Consider the following 19,858-nt stretch of genomic DNA (forward strand, 5'->3'; position numbering starts at 1 on the left):
CTCATTGTGATTTTGATTTGCATTTCTCTGATGATTAGTAATTATGAGCATTTTTTCGTATGTTTCCAGGCTGCTTACATGTCTTCTTTTGAGAAGTGTCTGTTCATGTCCTTTGCCTACTTTTTTTTTTTTTTTTTTTTTTTTTTTTTTTCTGAGTTGGAGTTTCGCTCTTGTTGCCCAGGCTGGAGTGCAATGGCATGATCTTGACTCACGGCAACCTCCACTTCCTGGGTTCAAGAGATTCTCCTGCCTCATCCTCCTGAGTAGCTGGGATTATAGGCGTGCATCACTACGCCAGGCTAATTTTGTATTTTTAGTAGAGACAGGGTTTCATCATGTTGATCATGCTAGTCTCAAACTCCTGACCTCAGGTGATCCACCCGCCTCGGCCTCCCAAAGTGCTGGGATTACAGGCATGAGCCACCACGCCTGGCCCTTTGCCTACTTTTGAAAGGGCTTATTTGTTTTTGGCTTGTTGATTTGCTTAAGTTCCCTATAAATTCTGGATATTAGACCTTCGTCGGATGCATAATTTGCAAATATTTTCCCTCATTCTGTAGGTTGTCTGTCTACTCTGTTGATAGTTTCTTTTGCTGTGCAGAAGCTCTTTGGTTTAATTAGGTCTTACTTGTCTATTTTGTTGTTTCTGTTGCAATAGCAATAAATTCTTTGCCAAGACCAGTGTCAAGAAAGGTATTTCCTAGGTTTTCTAGGATTTTTATAGTTTGAGGCTTTATCTTTAAGCCTTTAATCCATGTTGAGTTAATTTTTGTATGTGGTAATAGGTAGGGGTCTAGTTTCATTCTTCTGCATATGGCTAGCCAGTTATCCCAGCACCATTTATTGAATACAGAGTCCTTTTCCCACTGTTTATTTTTGTCAACTTTGTCAAAGATAAGATAATTATAGGTATGCAACTTTATTTCTGGGTTCTCTATTCTTCTCCATTGGTCTATGTGTTTGCTTTTGTACCAGTATCATACTGTTTTGATTACTGTAGGCTTGAAGTATAGTTTGAAGTCAGATAATATAATCCTTTTTACTTAGGATTGTTTTTGGTGTTCAGGTTCCTTTTTGGTTCCATATGAATTTTAGAATAGTTTTTTTCTAATTCTGTGAAAAATAACAATGGTAGTTTGATAGGAATAGAATTGACTTTATAGATTGTTTAAGGTAGTATGGCCATTTCCACAATATCGATTCTTCCAATCTATGAGCATGGAATGTTTTTCAATTTGTTTGTGTCATCTGTGATTTCCTTCACCAATGTTTTGCAGTTCTCCTTGTAGAGATCTTTTACCTCCTTGATTAGCTGAATTTCTAGGTATTTTTATGTGTGTGTGGCTCAGCTTGAATGTTATTGGTGTATAGAAATGCTACTGAGTTTTGTACATTGATTTCGTATCCTAAAACTTTACTTTTGAAGCCTTTCAGTTTTAGGAGGATTTTGGCGAAGTAGTTAGGGTTTTTCTTAGGGATAGAACCATATCAAGAGTGAAGAGGGATAGATTGACTTTTTTTTTCTATTTGGATTCATTTTATTTCTTTCTCTTGCCTGATTGCTCTGGCAAGTACTTCCAGTACTATGTTGAATAGGAGTAGAGAAACTGGGTATCCTTGTCTTGTTCGAATTCTCAAGGGGTATGCTTTCAGTTTTTGCTGGCTTAGTATGATGTTAACTATGGGTTTGTCATAGATGGCTTTTATTATTTTGAGGTATATTCCTTTGATGCCTGGTTTGTTGAGGCATCATGAAGAGGCTTCATGTTTTTTATCATGAAGAGATGTTAGATTTTATAAAAATCATTTTCCATGCCTATTGAGATGATCACATAGTTTTTGTTTTTAATTCTGTTTATGTGATGAATCACATTTATTGATTTGCGTATGTATGTTGAGCCAACCTTGCATCCTAAGAAGAAAGCCTCCTTGATTGTGATGAATTAACTTTCTCATGTGCTGATGGATTCAGTTTGCTAGAATTTTGTTAAGGATTTATGTATCTATATTCATAGGGAATATTGGCCTTTAGTTTTCATATTTTGTTGAGGCTTTGCCAGATTTTGGCATCAGGATGATGCTGGCTTCATAGAATGAGTTAGGGAGGAGTCACTCCTCCTTAATTTTTTGGAATAGTTTCAGTAGGATTCATACCAGCTCATTTGTATGTCTGGTAAAATTCGGCTGGGAATTCCTCTGGTCCAGGGCTTTTTTTAGTTGGTAGATTTTTTATTACTGATTCAATTTTGGAACTCATTACTGGTCTGCTGAGGTTTTCAATTTCTTCCTGATGCAATCTTGAGAGGTTGTGTGTTTCCTGGAATTTACCCATTTACTCTAGATTTTCTAGTTTGTGTGTGTAGAGTTTTTCATAACAGTCTGAGGATTTTTTGTATTTCTGTGGGATCGACTGTAATGTCACCTTTGTCATTTCTGATTGTGCTTATTTGGATCGTTGTTTTTCTTTGTTGATCTAGCTAGTGGTCTATCAATCTTGTTTATCTTTTCAAAAAGCCAACTTTCAGTTTCATTGATCCTTTGTATGGATTTTTGGGTCTCAATTTCATTTAGTTCTGCTTGGACTTTAGTTACTTCTTTTCTTCTGCTTGCTTTATTTTGTTCATGTTTTTCTAGTTCCTTTAGATGTGATGTTATATCATTAATTTGAGAACTTTCTAACTTTTTGAGATAGGTGTTTGGCACTATAAACTTTCCTTGTAATAACACTGCTTTTGCTGCCTCCCAGAAATTTTGGTGTGTTCTCTGTTTTCATTTCAATTTTTTTAAATTTCTGGATTAACTTTGTTATTTATCAATAGAACCACTCTTGATAAGGTTCTATCCCTCAGAAAAACCCTAACGACTTTGCCAAAATCCTCCTAAAACTGAAAGGCTTCAGTAAAGTTTTAGGATATGAAATCAATGTATAAAACTCAGTAGCATTTCTATACACCAATAACATTCAAGCTGAGCCACATACACATAAAAATAACAAGAAATTCAGTTAACTGAGGAGGTAAAAGATCTCTACAAGGAGAACTGCAAAACATTGGTGAAAGAAATCATAGATGATACAAATGGAAAAACATTCCATGCTCATAGATTCGAAGAATCAATATTGTGAAAATGGCCATACTACCTAAAACAGCAAAGTAATCCTGAATTACTTTGTTGTAATTCAGGAGCAAGTTATATAATTTCCATGTAATTGTGAGGTTTTTGGAGATTTTGGTATTGATTTCTATTTTTAGTCCATTGCAGCCCAAGAGTATGGTTGGTATGATCTTAACTTTTTAAAAATTTATTGAAACTTGCTTTATGGCTGAGAAAGTGATCAACCGTAGAGTATGTTCCACGTGCTGATGAGAAGAATGTATACTCTGTGGTTAATGGGTAGAGTGTTCTCTAGATGACTATTAGGTCTAATTGATCAAGTGTTGAATTTCAGCTGGAATTTCTTTGTTACTTTTCTGCCTTGATGGCCTGTCTAATGCTGTCAGTGGGGTGTTGAAGTCTCCTACTATTATTGTGTGGCTGTCTACACATACATTTAAAGGTACTTGTTTCATGAGCCGGGGTTCTCCAATGTTGGCGGTGTATATATTTAGAATAGTTAAGTCTTGTTGAATGAACCCTTTATTATTATATAATGACTTTCTTTGTCCTGTTTAATGATGTTTGCTTAATGTCTGCTGCCTCTGATCTAGGAATAGCAACTTCTGCTCATTCTGAAGAAGTCTCTTGAAAACAGAAGACGGTTGGGTCTTTTTTTTTTTTTTTTAATTCAACTTGCCACACTGTGCCTTTTAAGCAGGGCATTTACACCATTTACATTCAAGTTTAATATTTATAGGTGAGAGTTTGACCCTGTCATGTTATTAGCTGGTTACTTTGTAGTCTCTATTGTGTAGTTGCTTTATAATACCTGTGAGCTATGTATTTAGGTGTGTTTTTGTGGCAGCAGATACTGCTTTTTCATTTCCATGTTTAGAACTCCCCAGGCCTAAAGGATATCTTGTAAGACTGTTTTAGGGGTAATAAATTCCCTTAGCATTTGCTTGTCTGGAAAAGATTTTATTTCTTCTTTGCTTATGAAGCTTAGTTTGGTGGAATATTAAGTTCTTTGTTGGAATTTCTTTTCTTTAAGGATCCTGAAAATAGGCCTCCAATCTCTCCTAGCTTGGAAGGTTTATATTGAGAAGCCTGCTGTTAGCCTGATGGAGTTTCCTTTGTGAGTGATTTGACCCTTTTCTTTAACAGCCTTTAATAATTTTTTCTTTCATGTTGACCTTGAAGTCTGATGACTATGTGTCTTGGGGATGGTTCTCTTGTTAGTATCTAGCAGGTGTTCTCCAAATTTCTTGAATTTGTATGTCAACTTCTCTAGCAAGATTGGGGAAATTTTCATGGACCATACCCTCAAATATATTTTCCGAGGTGCTTATTCTCTATTCCTTCTCTCTTAGGAATGTCAATGAGTCATAGTGTGGGGGTCTGTCCCGCAGACTCTGAGCCAACGACAGATGAATGAAGTACACTGACACACAGATATTCTGCTTTGCCAGTTCAACTGAGCGTCCAGGCCACTTAGTTGCAGCCGCAGCCCTGACCAGCCAGCAAGACTCGCATTTATTCAGTAAAGATTAATTGACAAAGGCTTGAGTCAACACCACTAGACGGTAATCGACATTGTGGACTTCCCGAGTAGAAAACAATTAAGCACCCACAGTAGATCAAAGGTTAGTCTTAGGACCACATGAGTAAACAAGCTAGTTAAGTAAACTCCCCACATTCCTTTGTTTCTACTCTAATTTATTTAACTAAGGGGACAAGGCTGCCTTCAGCCAAGTTTATTACTGGAGCTTACGCAAACCCCCCAGGCCTTCCAAGAAGGTTTCTGGCTTATAATTTTCCCCACCATCCTGACCTAACCCCCACATCATAGATTTGGTTTCTTCACATAATCCCATATTTTATGGAGGCTTTGTTCATTTTTATTAAGTTTTTTAATTTATTCATTTTTGAGATAGGTTCTTTCCCTGTAGCCCAGGCTGACGTGCAGTGACACAACCATGGCTCACTGCATCCTCGACCTCCCTGGTTCAAGCTACCCTCCTGTCTCAGCCTCCTGAGTAGCTGGGATTACAAGCACGTGCTACCACACATGGCTAATTTTTTTTTTTTTTTTTTTTTTTGGTAGAGATGGAGTTTTACCATGTTAGCCAGGCTGGTCTCTAACTCATGGGCTCAAGTGATCTACCTGCCTCGGCCTCCCAAAGTGCTAAGATTACAAGGGTGAGCCACCACACCCAGCCTGTTCACTTTTTAAAATTCTTTTTTCTTAATTTTATTTTTTATTATTAATTTTTGTTATTTACCAAAATTAACTGCAAATTACCAACCAAGCCTTTCCCTGAAAGTTGCAAGTCATCAATGGATTCCAGAGTTTCAAAGGAGTTACATCAAATAGATTCTGCCAGTGTAATTATTGTCTAAGTGGGCAGACAGATTTCTGGTACTTCTTACTCTGCCATCTTCACAGAATCCTATTTTAAAACTGATACTCTAACTGTATTCCCTATAATTGGGAAAGCTGAAAAATATTGAGTGAATTAAGCAGAGATATAGAAGATATTTTAAGAAAACAAAACACCCAAGTCAGACTTTTAGAAAACTATAACGTCTGAGATGAAAATATAATGGAAGCAATTAAAAGCAGATTAGAAATAGAAGAATAAAAGGTTATGAACTTGAAGACAGCAATAGGAACTACCCAAATAAAACAGACGAAACAAAAACTTGTTAAAAAATTAACAGAGCCTCAATGACCTTGGAAAGACTTCAAATGGCCTAATACACATATATCGGAATCTCTCAAAAAGAGAAAGTAGGAGGGACAGAAAAAACATTAAAGCAATAATGGCTAAAAGTTTTACAAATTTAATAAAAGCTATAATTCCACAGTTCCAAGAAGCTCAACACGAAGAACAAGAAACAAGAAAACCACACAAAGGCACACAAAAACCAATTGGCTGTAAGCCAGCAAAATAGATCTTTACTCTGGCATCACCAGTTGAGTCCAGTAGCAGCAGGTGATTCTGTTTTAGTTTTTGCCCTAACATTTTTGGGACCAACATCACTGCACTCTCTCAGAGGTGCCGGCATCAAATGGCCAGAATCTCCTCCTCAGAGGTCTCTGTCCCAGCTCTACAGGGCGCTCTCCTCTGTGCTACTGAAGCACCAGGACCAACACTAGACCGTGCCTCCTCTTCATGGGTCCCAGTCCAAGCTTTCTAGGACTCTCCTTCCAAGCTTCTAAATGCTGATAAACCTAATCCCTTCCCTTTGCTCTGTAGCCCTAGATAGGAGCTGCTTCCTATTATAACCACCTCTGTGATGTCTTAAGTGTTCTCTTTTTGCCTGTTTAACAATTCTTTACATTAAGTACTCTACATTAAATACTACTAAAATAACAGAGAAAGATGATTGCACCTTGTTAGGTAAAATCATAAGCTTTTTCTATCTTTTAAATTTTTTTAATCAATTTTTTTAGAGATAGGATCTCACTCCATCACCCAGGCTGGTGTTCAGTGGTGCACTCATGGCTCACTGCAACCTTGAACTCCTGGCTCAAGCGACACTTTCACCTTGGACTCCAAAGTAACACAGACTGTGTGTGAATGCCACCACACCTGGCTACTTTTTTTTGTAGAGATGAGGTGTCACTTTGTTGCCCAGGCTGGTCTTGAACTCCTGGGCTCAAGCAATTCTCCCATCTTGGCCTCCCAAAGTACTGGGATTATAGGCATGAGCCACTGCTCCTGGCCCACATTTAAAAAATTATTGTTGTATGAAATTTCAGATATGTACAGAAGAGCAAGTGTAGAGGCTAAGTACTAGAGATTGGAATGGGTTATGAGTTATTCTCTCAGTTTCAAATCCATCCCTTAATTCTCATCTTTGAGATTTGGGGCTTTGTCAGGTGCATGCTCAATAGACTGTGCCGAAAGCATGTGCTACAGGGAGATAGAAGGCTAGAGAGGGAACAAGGGGCTTCTCCCTCCTGTTTTACTTTCTGTTGCTACCAACACAACCCCAGTAGTGGTTCTTCACTCAGTAAGTAGCAAATGATTCCCAGCAGCAGTAGTTGGCTCAATTTACCAGTTTTCTATTCCCTAGGCTCCCAGAGGCATCCTCATTGTGCCCTCTTAGAGATTCAAGCACCAGCTACCTGCCATGCTCTTCTCCAAAGTCTAAGTCCCAGAGCCATGGATTTTCTGACCTGTTGTTCAATTCCTGAAATCTTTTCTGAATACCTGAGGCAAAAACACTGATTAGGCTGTGTCCCCCTGTTAGCTTTGTGGGGTCTTTCCTCAAATCCTCAGATACCAGTGACCAAACCCCTCAGATGTCTGGATCCAAATTCTGTGGTGCTGCTCCCTCAAGATTCTAAATTCCAGGAACCTCTTCTCTTTGTCCCCACATCCTTAGCTGATGTGACTGCTTTCTGCAATTACTACCTCTGTGATACATTCCTTTGGCATCTTATAGCATAAAGATGTAAATTACACCAATTCTTTTCATATCCGTCTGCTATTTTACACGCAGGTTATCTTAACTTTTGGATCTTATTTTCTTTCATCTTATCCCTTTCAATAAAGGCTAAATTATACATATGTATCAGTCCTTATGAAATGTAAAAGATCTAAACTAATTCACCTTTATCATGCTCATGTTTGTTCCACTTTATCCAAAGGGCAGTGTTATAGAGAGACCGAGAGATAGAAGATGAGAAACTCCCACATCCTTCAGGATCTGGGGAAAATTAGCTTCTAGGAAGCTAAATCTCCTCATCTGTAATAATTCATATAGAGTTGTTGTAAATATCCAGGAAAGCATTTATATGGAAGCATTTAGCAATCGTAAGCGCAGTGTAAATTAGTTCCATTACCATTACCAAATATGACTAGATGGTAGAAGGAAAAGATGATGAAACAAGAGGCGAAAAGAAGAAAAACAACCGAAAAAAGTATTCTAGAGTTTCTCTACCCACTCAGAAATAGAATAATATATAGTTTTTTTAAAATGTGGATCTCTACTTTTTCCCATTGCATTCAACTCGAATCCTCAGCCGATCTAGCACAGATCCTTTTTGCTAATGAGACAGAAACCATTTATTAACAGACAGCAAATACTGTTTATTGCAGACTTTCCAGCTGACTCATGTGAAAAAGGCACTATGAAAATTAATGAATCTAGATAATTTCTCTAAATGATTTATGTTAAAATATACAACATTCTTACATAACATCTGTTTTATATATGTGAAATAATATAACATTTAATGACAAAAATTGTGTTTCCAAAAATAACATTTGTTGAAGGTTAGGTATCTTTCTTTTCTCTATGTGGAATCTTTCACAGGATTAAAATATGTGTAAATTAAGTGCTTCTTATTACCAGAAATACTTGACACAGATAAACACATAAAATGGCCCCACTTCCTTTTAACTACTCATATCAACATTCAGAACTGAGGCTTTCATTAAGCAAAATACTGTAATGCACACCAATGCAGACTACTTCCTTTGCTAGATTTTGAGAAGACATGACCTCTTTCGCATTTGTGCTTTCTCATATATAAGAACACAGTATACATAATAAGCAGAATATAAACTAAATCAAAATACAAGCTATACAAGGAGTTGCAATCAACAGAGCCATGACAAACTCTCTTGAGAATGCTCCATAGATTTATATTTGCATGTCCAAGGTATGGCTGTACTTTACAGTTCATTCAAATGTTTTAATTTTTTTTTAAACTGTTGGCATTAAGAACTTTAAATAAATCTAAATATTCTTCCATTGAGTATGTCAGAGAAGAGACTTAAGTAAGCAGAGGCTAGCCTACAGTGAGCTATGCCCTGAATGACAGACACCATATTCACAGGCAAAATCGAAACTGCTTAGATTTTGAATCATGGACAACATTGTTGCTTTGTTGCAGTGAATAACTCCACCACTATCAAAACAATTCCTGTTTATACCCTGGGATGGGGATAAAATAATTAGTCTAATTAAGGAAACTTCACCTTGGTAAAGTAAGAAAAATATTTTCCAAGGTCAAAAAATTCAGTTTAAATTTTTTCAGTTTTAATAAAAATAATGGGCCTAGAAGCAAATCCTGTGCTCACTCAGGTTTGCATGGGTTTTTTTTTATGGTGATAAATTACATCAAGAAAAATGAATCTGACATTCCCTTCAAGGCTTCTTAAAACAAAGCATGTTGGAATAATGCCAAAAACAATGGAGTTTAAATACAAACAAACAAATTAGTGACTGCTTCCTTCATCAAAAGATTCCACTCCTGAATCACTAGCGGCAGCACTGATTTTTTCCTGTCGTCTTCTCATAATTTCTTGTAACTCGGAGCTGCCACTGCTATCCTGAAAGATAAACAGTTCAGACAAGATAGTTACTGACTTGTGCAGGCTGCAGGTCATATCATGAAATGGCTCAGGATAAAATTCTACTGTGGTTTTCTTCTAGTATCTCTTTAGGAAAGCTAACAGCTCTACTTTTTAAGTGAAGCTTCTGCACTTCACTAATATATCACATTAATAATTTTTCATTTTGTAAAGTCTGTTAAGGCAATTCACTCACCAGGCCTTTCATTTGAACATGATAAAGATAAATCAATAATGTATGTATAGTACTCTAGGTTTGCTGAGAGAAAGAGGAAATGTGTACAATAAGCATAATAACATGGTAAATTATCAAAGGACTCTTTTGGGCTCAAACAAGATACTGATCTGCCTTTAGAAGATTTTAACTCAGGCCAGAGTGGGCTCAGAATTCACCCAGTTTCCCCTCCATATAGTTCTGACCCTCCGACCATGCTGGCTTTTCTCCTTTCCCATCAACAGAAGTCTCTGGCAACACAGGCAAATAATCTAAAAGATTAACTAGATCCAAGGAAAGGGTGAGGTGGTAGAAGGTGGCTGAGGAACATGAAGAACCTCAGGTAGTCAGCCTCTGCCTCAGTTCCCATGCAGAGAATAGGAAGAGAACAAGAAGCAAGAGACCATCCTGAAGTGGGTGGTGACAGCAAATGACAATAATGATAGGCAGGTGTGGGATGAAGGAATTCAGAATTTTAGGAATATGGCATTTTCTAACATACCTTGAAGAAGTAATTATATACTCTCAACAAAATTAAATATAGTGGTAATAAAACTGCTTGAGAAAAATATATAATCCTTATTAATATTCAACATATGGAAAGCAATCAAATCAAACTTTAATATGGAGCCTTCAAGATCAATGTTGTAGGGAAAACCTCCAAGGGAAATATGGTTTCTCTTGATTCAGAATGGCTACGGGGTGATACGCATGAAGTGATTTTACCCTGAATTATTTAACTGTTGAATTTATAGAATATACCTGCTAGAGATGATTATGGATCAATTTCATGCCAAAGCCTACATTCTTTCATTTGAGTCCAAGTATAATTTTCATGAAACTATTAAGAGCTGTGAGATGTAACAGTTGGAAACTACTACCCGTATATAGCACATTTTAAGTCTAAAATAGGATATTGGAAGCTTAAGTATAAAGCAATCTAGAAAACATGACTCTCCTGCTTTCATACAGACCATTGTGATTAAATACTTTTCCAGGCTCTCTATTTTCAGTGATCTCTACCTAATGTATCTTTCCCGATTATTGAGATGTATTACTAGACCTAACACACACAGCCAGGGTTTTACAATCTTATAACCTATACGTTATTAGAATCTCCAAAAAAAAAAAAATATTAAGAATAGGCAAGGATTCTGGCCTCTTAAGGCTCTTACTCACTCAGAAGCTAATTTCCATTGTTATGTCAAAATTAAATTTCCTATAGAATTAGTCAATACATATAAAATGAGAACATTATGCTTTTTGTCAAGTTTCCAAAAGTATGTGCTCAAGCTTCACATCATATGAGCATTTATAACAAATTAACCTTCTGGAAACTGTCATTGATGATCTCAGTGACAAATTTACAAAAGCAGAGTTAAATTTAATTCAGCTCTGTTAAGAAAGGGAAATTGGCCAATATGGACATAAATAGTTGTTTCCAGAGCTTTCAATTTGCAGAAAAACACCACCTTAGGTTGACAAGTCATACCTCCAATGCAGCTTTTTGTACAGTGATTTGGCTATAGACTCTCGCCCCTTCAGGGCAGACTGTCCTCAGTTCATCCTTATTGAGAGAGAAAAGTTGTGCACCATTTAATACTCCAAGACTATTGACAGTCCTAAAAAAAAAAAAAGGAAAAAGAAACTGAGCATTAAAAATATTGCCTACAAACAAAGGAGAAAATTATCTGTTCCTGCTAGTAACTTCTCTTTTCTAAGCGTTCCATACCCTGGAACCCTTATTAAATGCCACTACAGTCTTTATAGTTAGGGCAATGACAAGTTTCTTTCATGATGATGACCCTGAGGCTATACAGATTATTAATTACAAAGTATCAAAAATGAGCCAATTCGGTTTAGGGTCATTGTTTAATACCAATTCTTGGGATTTGGTGTTTTATAGAAGGAATAGATAACTTTCTAGTAACCTGGCAATTGACTAACCATTGTATCTCATTTTTCAATCATGCTGGGTAGGTGAGTTTATAATATGTCAAGGTCCCTTGAATATGTATTATTCTAATAGTTCATTGTGCCAAATACATATGAAATGTTTATAGACTTTTAGATAGATAAATAGAACCTTTACTATGGGTTTATTAAAGGAAAAGTTCTATTAAGATTATAATTGATGCTAGGTAACACTATTTTTTATTTGCCAGAGACACTATATCCTGCAGCAGGAGGAAAGCTTATGCTCTATGTCCTATGTGGTCTAGGAAGTTCAGCTAAGACCATGGTCCTACCTAGGTTACATCACAGTAATCTGATGGAGAAAAGAAGCTACTGGGCCTCAAAGCTGCCAATAGTTTGCTTAAAGAACTAATAATGAACAGATACTACCAATTCGAAAATGGGGTGGCATCAGAATAATTATTTATGCTTATTTTAGTTCTTTTTCAGCTATGAACAGCTATAGTGAGTTCTTGAGTATGGCACAAAGTATGCAGTCTGTGCCCTTATGTTTTATAACAGTTATCTGTGACATCTAACTAAGCAAATTGAAAACAATGCATGTTGTACACACAGAATTGCAAAGTATTCACAGAGAGACTCACACAGGGTTGAATCCCTTTGACTGTAACCACGTCTTCACATCCTCTGGTGTGGAGTCGTAAGTGATATTGATAACTGGCACGTTCTGCCGTGGCACATGGAATTTCTTCTGAGCGGCACTCCGACCAATGGTCAGTCTGTGGATGAGTTCATCTTGCACTTCCTCCATCTGAGATTTCCTTCCTAGACACCAACAGGGAGTAGGTTCTTTTTGAAAATCCCTAATATTACATCACCCTCTCTAGAACCCCAATCTCTATAATCCTTGACCCCAGTAGGACCTACAGTCTAGTGTTCCTACCATCTTTCCTCACTTTTATCCTCGCCTGGTATAAATGCCATGATCAATTATTAAAATAACTCCCTGGCTCTTCTCTAGTCTCTTCATTGTACTCCTTTGGCAAAACCCCAATCCTGGTTAAACCTAACTTTCTGCGTATTCTGTGCCTGCACCTGCACAGCTGAATATAACACAACAATGCTGAATGATCTCATGTTAAATTCATGATTATGAACCTTAACTTGGCTGTTAATGCTTCCTGACAATTATACTACATTTCCTTAGACTGGTGGCTCTCAACTGGGGACAGTTTTGGCCCCAGAGGACATTTGGGAATATCTGGAGACACTTTTGGTCGTCACAATTGAGGGAGAAAAAGGGGAAAGGCTGCTGCTGTCACACAGTGGGTAGAAGCCTGGGATGCACACAACATTCTATAATGTCAGCCTCTCCTACAGCAGAGAATAACCCAGCCTCAAAGGCCAAGAAGTCCTGCCTAAGGTCATGTAACTGCCCACTGTCTTAGACAAGTATTGAATATATTCTACTTTCTCTCTACAAACTTCTAACCCTATTCCCCAATCCTCACCTTGAGCTGATCTCATTTCCTAATTTATGAATAAAATAGTTAGAAGAAAACCTCCGTAAGTTCCTCTAGTAGTTCTTCCTAACAGCACTTTCCCCATATGTTCTGCCTGCCTTCCTATTATGTTATATAAGAGCTGTTTCCCTGCTCCCAAGGCTAACTATCCATGTATGCACTAGGCCTCAAGTTCTCTGCCTATTCAAATACTGAGTCATTTCTCCCTTATTTATCCTGTTATTAATTTTCCTTCTTCACTGAATCAGTTCATCAGCCTGCAAACATGCTATTATTTTATGATTTCTGTTACCTTTAAACAAGTCCTTTTTACCATGTCCTTTCCCAGCTACTGCCCATTTTTCTGCTCCTTTTACAGCAAAGTTCACGAAAAGTTGCCTGTACTAGTGGACTCCAATTCCCATTCTCCTATTTTCTCTTAATGTCGCCGAAATTCAATTTTGCTTTTCCCCCCATCTCTCTACTACACTTTGCTAAACTCCAGCCAATTCTTTCCCAGCTACTATCTTATTTAACCTATCAGCACACATTTGAAGCAGAAGATTCCTCCTTGAAACATTTTCTCCCTGTGGCCTCCAGGATACCACAGTCTCCTCATTTTCCTCCCATGTTTCTGGACTCCCCTTCTCTGGATCCTCTTCTGAATATTCTCATCTCTCCAACTAAGTAATATTAAGGTGCTCTAGGGGACACTCCTGAGACTCATCTCTGCCAGCACTACCTCCATCAATGACCACTGTGCTTAGGTTCATGGCCATTTAAAAGATGATGGTTACCAAATTATTTTTCCAGTCCTCTTACTCGGAACTTGGGTGCATATATGCTGTCTACTTGATATATTCATTTGGGTATTTCTTAAATAGCTCAAATGCATGTCAAATATAGCATGCCCAAACCTGAATTCCCGATCTTCTTCCTGAAGCTTGCTTTTATGAACTCTTAGACTTGCTTTTTAGACTTCTCAACTCACTTAATGACAATTCTATCTTTCCAGTTCTGGCAAAATACCACGGAGCTGCACTTGATTCCTGTCCTATACTACATCCAATCCATCAGCAGATCCTGTTAGTCTGACCTCATAATGTATCCAAAATCCAATGATTTCACTGTATTTTTTCTGTTGCCAGCTTGGTCTGAGTTACCAGCCTATTAACAGATCTCTCTGCTTCCACTCCCTACCACCCTACCCATTTCTCTTCATTCTCTTCTCAGTATAACAACTAAGTGATTCTTTTAAAATGTAAGTCAGGCTAGGTGGCTCATGCCTGTAATCCAAGCACTTTGGGAGGCTGAGGCAGGCGGATCACAAGGTCAAGAAATCGAGACCATCCTGGCCAACATGGTGAAACCCAGTCTCTACTAAAAATACAAAAATTAGCTGGGCGTGGTGGCATGTGCCTGTGGCCCCAGCTACTCGGGAGGCTGAGGCAGGAGAATCTCTTGAACCCAGGAGGCGGAGGTTGCAGTGTGCCAAGATAGCGCCACTGTATTCCAGCCTGGCAACAGAGCAAGACTCCGTCTCAAAAAAAAAAAAAAAAAAAAAATGCAAGTCAGATGTTGCAGCCCCTCTGCTCAAAACATTCCCAAGTGATCCTAATTACTCCCAGTAAAAGGCCCTACAAGACCTCCACCACTCTAAAGCCACTCCACAACTCTTCTGGAGCCCTTCACTCTTGCTCCCAATGGCTCCCTTGGTGCTCTTCAAATTTAAAGGCCACTCTAGTCTGCTCTGTCTGGAATGCTTTCCCCCGCATCTCCACATAGCTTACTCCTCCCCACCTTTCTATTTCCCCTGATGTATATAAAACTGCAATCCCTCCCCAAAAGCACTCTCTATCCACATAGTTTTATTAGTCTCCAAACCACTTACCACCTTCTTGATAGATAGTTTTGTCTATCATCTTTTTTTTTTTGAGAAAGAGTCTCACTCTGTTGCCATACTGGAGTGCAGTGGCACAATCTTGGCTCACTGCAACCTCCGCCTCCTGGGTTCAAGCGATTCTCCTGCCTCAGCCTATGGAGTAGCTGGGACTATAGGCGTGTGCCACCATGCCCATGCCCAACTAATTTTTGTATTTTTAGTAGAGATGGGGTTTCACCCTGTTGGCCAGGATGGTCTCAATCTCCTGACCTCGTGATCCACCCACCTTGGCCTCCCAAAGTGCTGGGATTACAGGCATGAGCCACCGCGCCCAGCCAACTTAATCGTTTTTTAACCTACCTCCTTTCATTAAAATATAAGCCTGAGGAGAAAAAGGATGCTTCCCTTTTTTGCTTGCATCTATATCCTAATACGTGGAACGGTGCTTTAATTCAATAAATACTTGTTGAATAAATGAATGAATGAGGCATTCTGCTGACTTTTTCACCGAGACTTTGAGAATCATCATGTACAAACCCCTTACATAACCAGATAAGAAAATGAAGGCCAAAAACAGAGAAATGATCTGTCAAAGTCACATTTCAATTAGTAGAATAATTTAGCTAGAACTGGATCTTCTGACTTTCAGCAGAGGGCTGTTTTATAGCCAAAGTCATTAAAATCACCTTTGATTAACTTCCCTAGCTACTCCTTTTTCCTAGCCATTTATGCTAATGGAAAAGATGTGTGTGTATATGAACATACTGTCATGACAAAAATAGGAAAGGCATAAAAGTACAGGAAGGGGAATCATGTGTCTGTGTATTTTAAAATATGTGTGTATATATACATAGGTACATTATGTTCGTTGTTTGTTTTCACTTTCAAGAAATAAGAACAATCTAATTAAGTTGGCAAGTGACAATAACCTGGTCACTTAGGGAGCTTTTTGTGACCAATGTTCTATGATTTTTCCCCCCTAGGGAAAGGGTTTTAGAAAGTGTTTGGTGCCCCTGGGAAATAAGGGAAAGTGTGAATAGTTAGTGTTATTTCAGTCTAATTTTTTTTAATGCCTCAAGTATCTAGGAAATCTTTTGAAGTAATCAAAAAAGGGGAAAAGGGGAGGGAGGGAGGGAGGGAGGAGTAGGGGGTGCTAGAGAGAGTAAGAGAGAATACTATTGATTGTTACATTTAAGTATACATTATGTGCATTTCATTAGCTACCTTTTAAAAAATCACTACAACAAACTGTCAAACAGCATATGAGTGCATCTCAAAAGAATAAAAAATAAAATGTATCACCACACTAAAAGATTTGGTTTCTCATCTGCTGACTTAGTCAGTATATCAATCATCACCAGTCCACAGCATAGTTTTCTTCCAGGAAGGACAAAAAAACCTCCACCTAACATGTTCCTGGGCTTTTGCTTTCCATTTCCAATGTTCTAACACACAACAGCAAACCAGAATAACTTTACACCTTTCTAAAGTAACACTCTGATTACAAAAGATTAAATTCGAATAAAAGGACTACCATTTCAAAGGAAATGGGAGAAATACAAAGCAACTAAAGTTTGGCATCTTAAAAGCGATAAAAGGAGAACCTTTTGGGATCCTGCGATAAAACAGCCTGAATAGCTTCTATGACACAAGGCTTCACAGTTATTTTGAATAGGCAACACACAGACTTCCACAAAAGGGCTTCACTCTTGCCACTTGCTACGTTGTAAAAACAGGCATGTTGGCTTTTTTCCCCTGTTCATAGCTGCTACTTGATAGATTTCTATGAGTATTTACTTCCTAGTTCCTTTCATTTTATTTTTACCAGAAGTTTAGGCAGTAAGCAGAGAATGTGGGTAGATGAGTAGGCATATTTTGAGAGAAATTTGGCTATCAATAAACACACACTGAAATATGTGCTACTGTCTGGTTCTAAAAGAACATTAAGCCCCAACATTCATTCAGAGAAAAACTGTTCTGCAATAAAGTTATCAAGAAATATTTGTTTTATAAAAAGAAATATATTTATTTAATGCCAAACTGTATTTTTGAGATATTTTAAAAAGGAACTTACATAAGTTGCAAATATATTGTAAGATTTTTAATATTCTAAGGAAACAAGTATGTGTGTTAATTTTGGGAGAGATGTTTATATTTTATACACCAATGCCACCCTTTTACTTATGAAAAACAGACTTCAACATGATGAGTCACAATTATCAGGAGAGTTCTCTATCTTTAAAAGTATGCAAACTATGCCTCTTTCCCACTAGGTTATTCTTGGTTTCTCAGCGTGAACAAAGAACAGACTGTCCTAACCCACACACTGCTCCAAATGGGGACTGGAGGCCGATGAACTTTGATCCTAGCTAGGCCTGGATAAAGAGTCCCACCGTGTCAAAGATGACTGTGCTGACGTCTCTACGGAGGGAAATGCTATAAACTTGTGGGAAGAATAAAGAAGAGAACAGTCATTTCTAAGAGGAAGTTTTCTCCTTAGGGAACTCAATAAAAATATTTATAGAAATTTCTCATCTTAAAACTATGTCTTTAGTGTATTTGAAAAAGAAAACTCTTTTTAAAAACTCCACATAATTTTAAAAACTTAGTAGCATATTCTATTTTATTATGGTTCTACACACTCACGCACACAGTTGTTTTTGCTGTACAGAAAGAGCTAATCACTTTTCCAAAACTTCATTTTTCCTTTAGTTTCCTGGCAAGATAGATATGACAGTCATTTAAATTGGACATACCGTGGGAGAAAAATTAATGAGTAAAAGTAGGCTTATGCTTATTGCATTTAACCAGAATTTTTAGAATTGTTAAATAGTAATAGTTTTAGTGTCTTTTTTATTTTTTATTTTATCAAGAATGTCCACAACTGAACAGATGTGGCAATAACTTACTGACGTGAGAAAAACAGTAGGATGAAAATGGGAGTGAAAGATTCAGCCATTTAGTTTTGAACATAAATAGAAAGCATCCAATCTCAGCTATAAAGTTAATAGTTCCATACTGGTATCTGGATGTCAGAGATGAGTTTTAATACGATGACTAATTTGGGAATCATTCTTTTCCCAACAATATAAATAGTATTGAAAGAAATGGAAATAGAATGAACTACAGTAAAAGTATGTTTATGTGGAAAACGAAGGCAGAACCCTAAGAGAGGCCCACATTGAGGGAAAGATAGATATCCATCTCTCTCTCTCTGTCTCTCTATCTCTCTCTCACTCACACACACACACACACACACATACACACACACACTTCATATACTTTTGTCATATTGGGGAAATATGAAATATCTTCATAGCTCTGGTTTTCCAAGAGTTTTTACACATCAAGTATAGGTAAAGCCAAGTAACTTTATAATACGTTTAAAACACCAAATTTGGAGATTAAATTGACATGCCATATACTACAAGGTTAAACAAAATTTATCTTAAAACTACCTTCAGTTTTCAAAATATCTACACTGCTATTCACCAATAATACAAATAAGGATAATCCAAAGTTGGTCATAGTGTCTTTTTAGTTTACTTAAATATGGTTTTCATAGAAACCATTTATATGAAACATCAAATTTCAAGTTATGAAAATATGGCACTGAAGTGTAAGTCACATGAAATTTGAATTTGGAGGCTAAATCTGAGACTACTATTGGCAGGTGATTATATTAACATAGTGTGATTGTGCAGCTACTGTGAATAGCAAACAAGAGGAAGAGAAGTAGGAAGGTTATGATGATGATGATGATGGCGACAGCAGGATGTAGTTAGTGACTGCATATTACGTGTCATACAGGGGTCAAAATCAGTCAGGGGTTTTCAACCTCAGCACCATTGATATTTTGGGCCAGATAACTCTGTTGCTGGGGACTGTCCTGTGCATTGTAATTGTTGCTAAGTGTCCCTGGTCTCTACCCATTAGACATCAGTAGCATCCCCCCAGTTTTGACAACCAAAAATGTCTTCAGGCAATATCAAATGTCCTCAGAAGGATGGAGAAGAAGACAAAATCGCTCCTGGCTGAGAAGCACTGAAGTAGATGCTTTCTATGCATTATCTCATTAAATCCTCACACTTATCCTATGAAGCAGATACTATTATTTTTCTCCACTTTTTAGATATTGAAGTGCTGAGAGGATAATTAAATCATTGAAGGTCAGGAAGCTGGCAAGTGTTGTTTTGGTATACAAATTCCAGGATGTCTGGCTCCAGAGTCTGCATTCAATTATCATAACAGATTGGAAAAGGAGTAGAAAGGCATGCATTAGAGAGTGGAGAGAATACTTCCTGTTTCTCAGAACTACGTAGCTGATGAGAAACCAGGTGAAAATCTTTGCAATCTATTAAGTACCATGCAAGTATAAAGGACTTTAATACAAGTAGAATCAGCAGTAAACAATATTTTACTTAGTAGTGCTTTTAATTTGCAGAAGACATTTTTTGCCTCCCTGGGAAACTTACGGTCCACCGGAAGTTGTTTGTGTCTCTGGCTGTCTCGCACGATACTGCCACCACTGTCACTGGAGCTGCTGTTTTGACGTGTTATATTTGCTGGGACCTTTGACACAGGAACAGGTGCTGGAGTGGAAGGGGGAAGGGGAACAGGAACAGGAGCTGGTGTTGGAGGAGGTGATGGAGCAGGGGGAGTATCAGCTGGTCTTGGGCCATACTCCATCCTTTGTTTCTATAAAAAGACAAATAATTAACTTAAAATTTAAAAAATATAAACCTAGGCTAGGAAAACAAATTATACTTTGATAGGACATTGTTGGCTATTTTTAAACTTACTTGCAAACCCATTACTCATTTATCTGTAATCCTATATGGTATAATGACCATTAAAAATCATATTTTAAACATTC

At 37.5% G+C, this 19,858-nt stretch overlaps 1 protein-coding gene across 20 annotated transcripts in view, besides 2 other annotated features; it reads right to left on the reverse strand.

The window, feature by feature from the left end:
- Positions 8,150–19,858, reverse strand: part of EPS8 (EGFR pathway substrate 8, signaling adaptor) — a 169,255-nt gene continuing 157,546 nt past the window's right edge. For all 20 annotated transcript variants that reach the window (NR_182221.1, NR_182223.1, NR_182222.1 and 17 more), the window contains 4 exons: positions 19,458–19,680; positions 12,243–12,423; positions 11,174–11,303; positions 8,150–9,446 (listed from right to left, as the gene is read on the reverse strand). Coding sequence is in view for 17 of the 20 variants with exons in the window: in NM_001413836.1 (NP_001400765.1) it covers positions 9,333–9,446; positions 11,174–11,303; positions 12,243–12,423; positions 19,458–19,680 (648 nt within the window). In the remaining 3 variants the exon portion in view is untranslated. The remainder of the gene's footprint in view (positions 9,447–11,173; positions 11,304–12,242; positions 12,424–19,457; positions 19,681–19,858) is intronic.
- Positions 17,271–17,415: an enhancer, noted in NCBI's record as "145 bp enhancer 23 fragment used in the MPRA reporter construct; PK_construct_1645". NCBI's record gives its function as "activates an SV40 promoter by MPRA in HepG2 cells {active_cell/tissue: HepG2}" and the evidence as "EXISTENCE:reporter gene assay evidence [ECO:0000049][PMID:23512712]".
- Positions 17,336–17,349: a transcriptional cis regulatory region, noted in NCBI's record as "HNF4 motif; enhancer activity is reduced when this motif is scrambled". NCBI's record gives its function as "necessary for full MPRA enhancer 23 activity {active_cell/tissue: HepG2}" and the evidence as "EXISTENCE:site-directed mutagenesis evidence [ECO:0005528][PMID:23512712]".

The sequence above is a fragment of the Homo sapiens genome, chromosome 12 (genome assembly GCF_000001405.40).
Source record: "Homo sapiens chromosome 12, GRCh38.p14 Primary Assembly".
NCBI classification, from domain to species: Eukaryota; Metazoa; Chordata; class Mammalia; order Primates; family Hominidae; genus Homo; species Homo sapiens.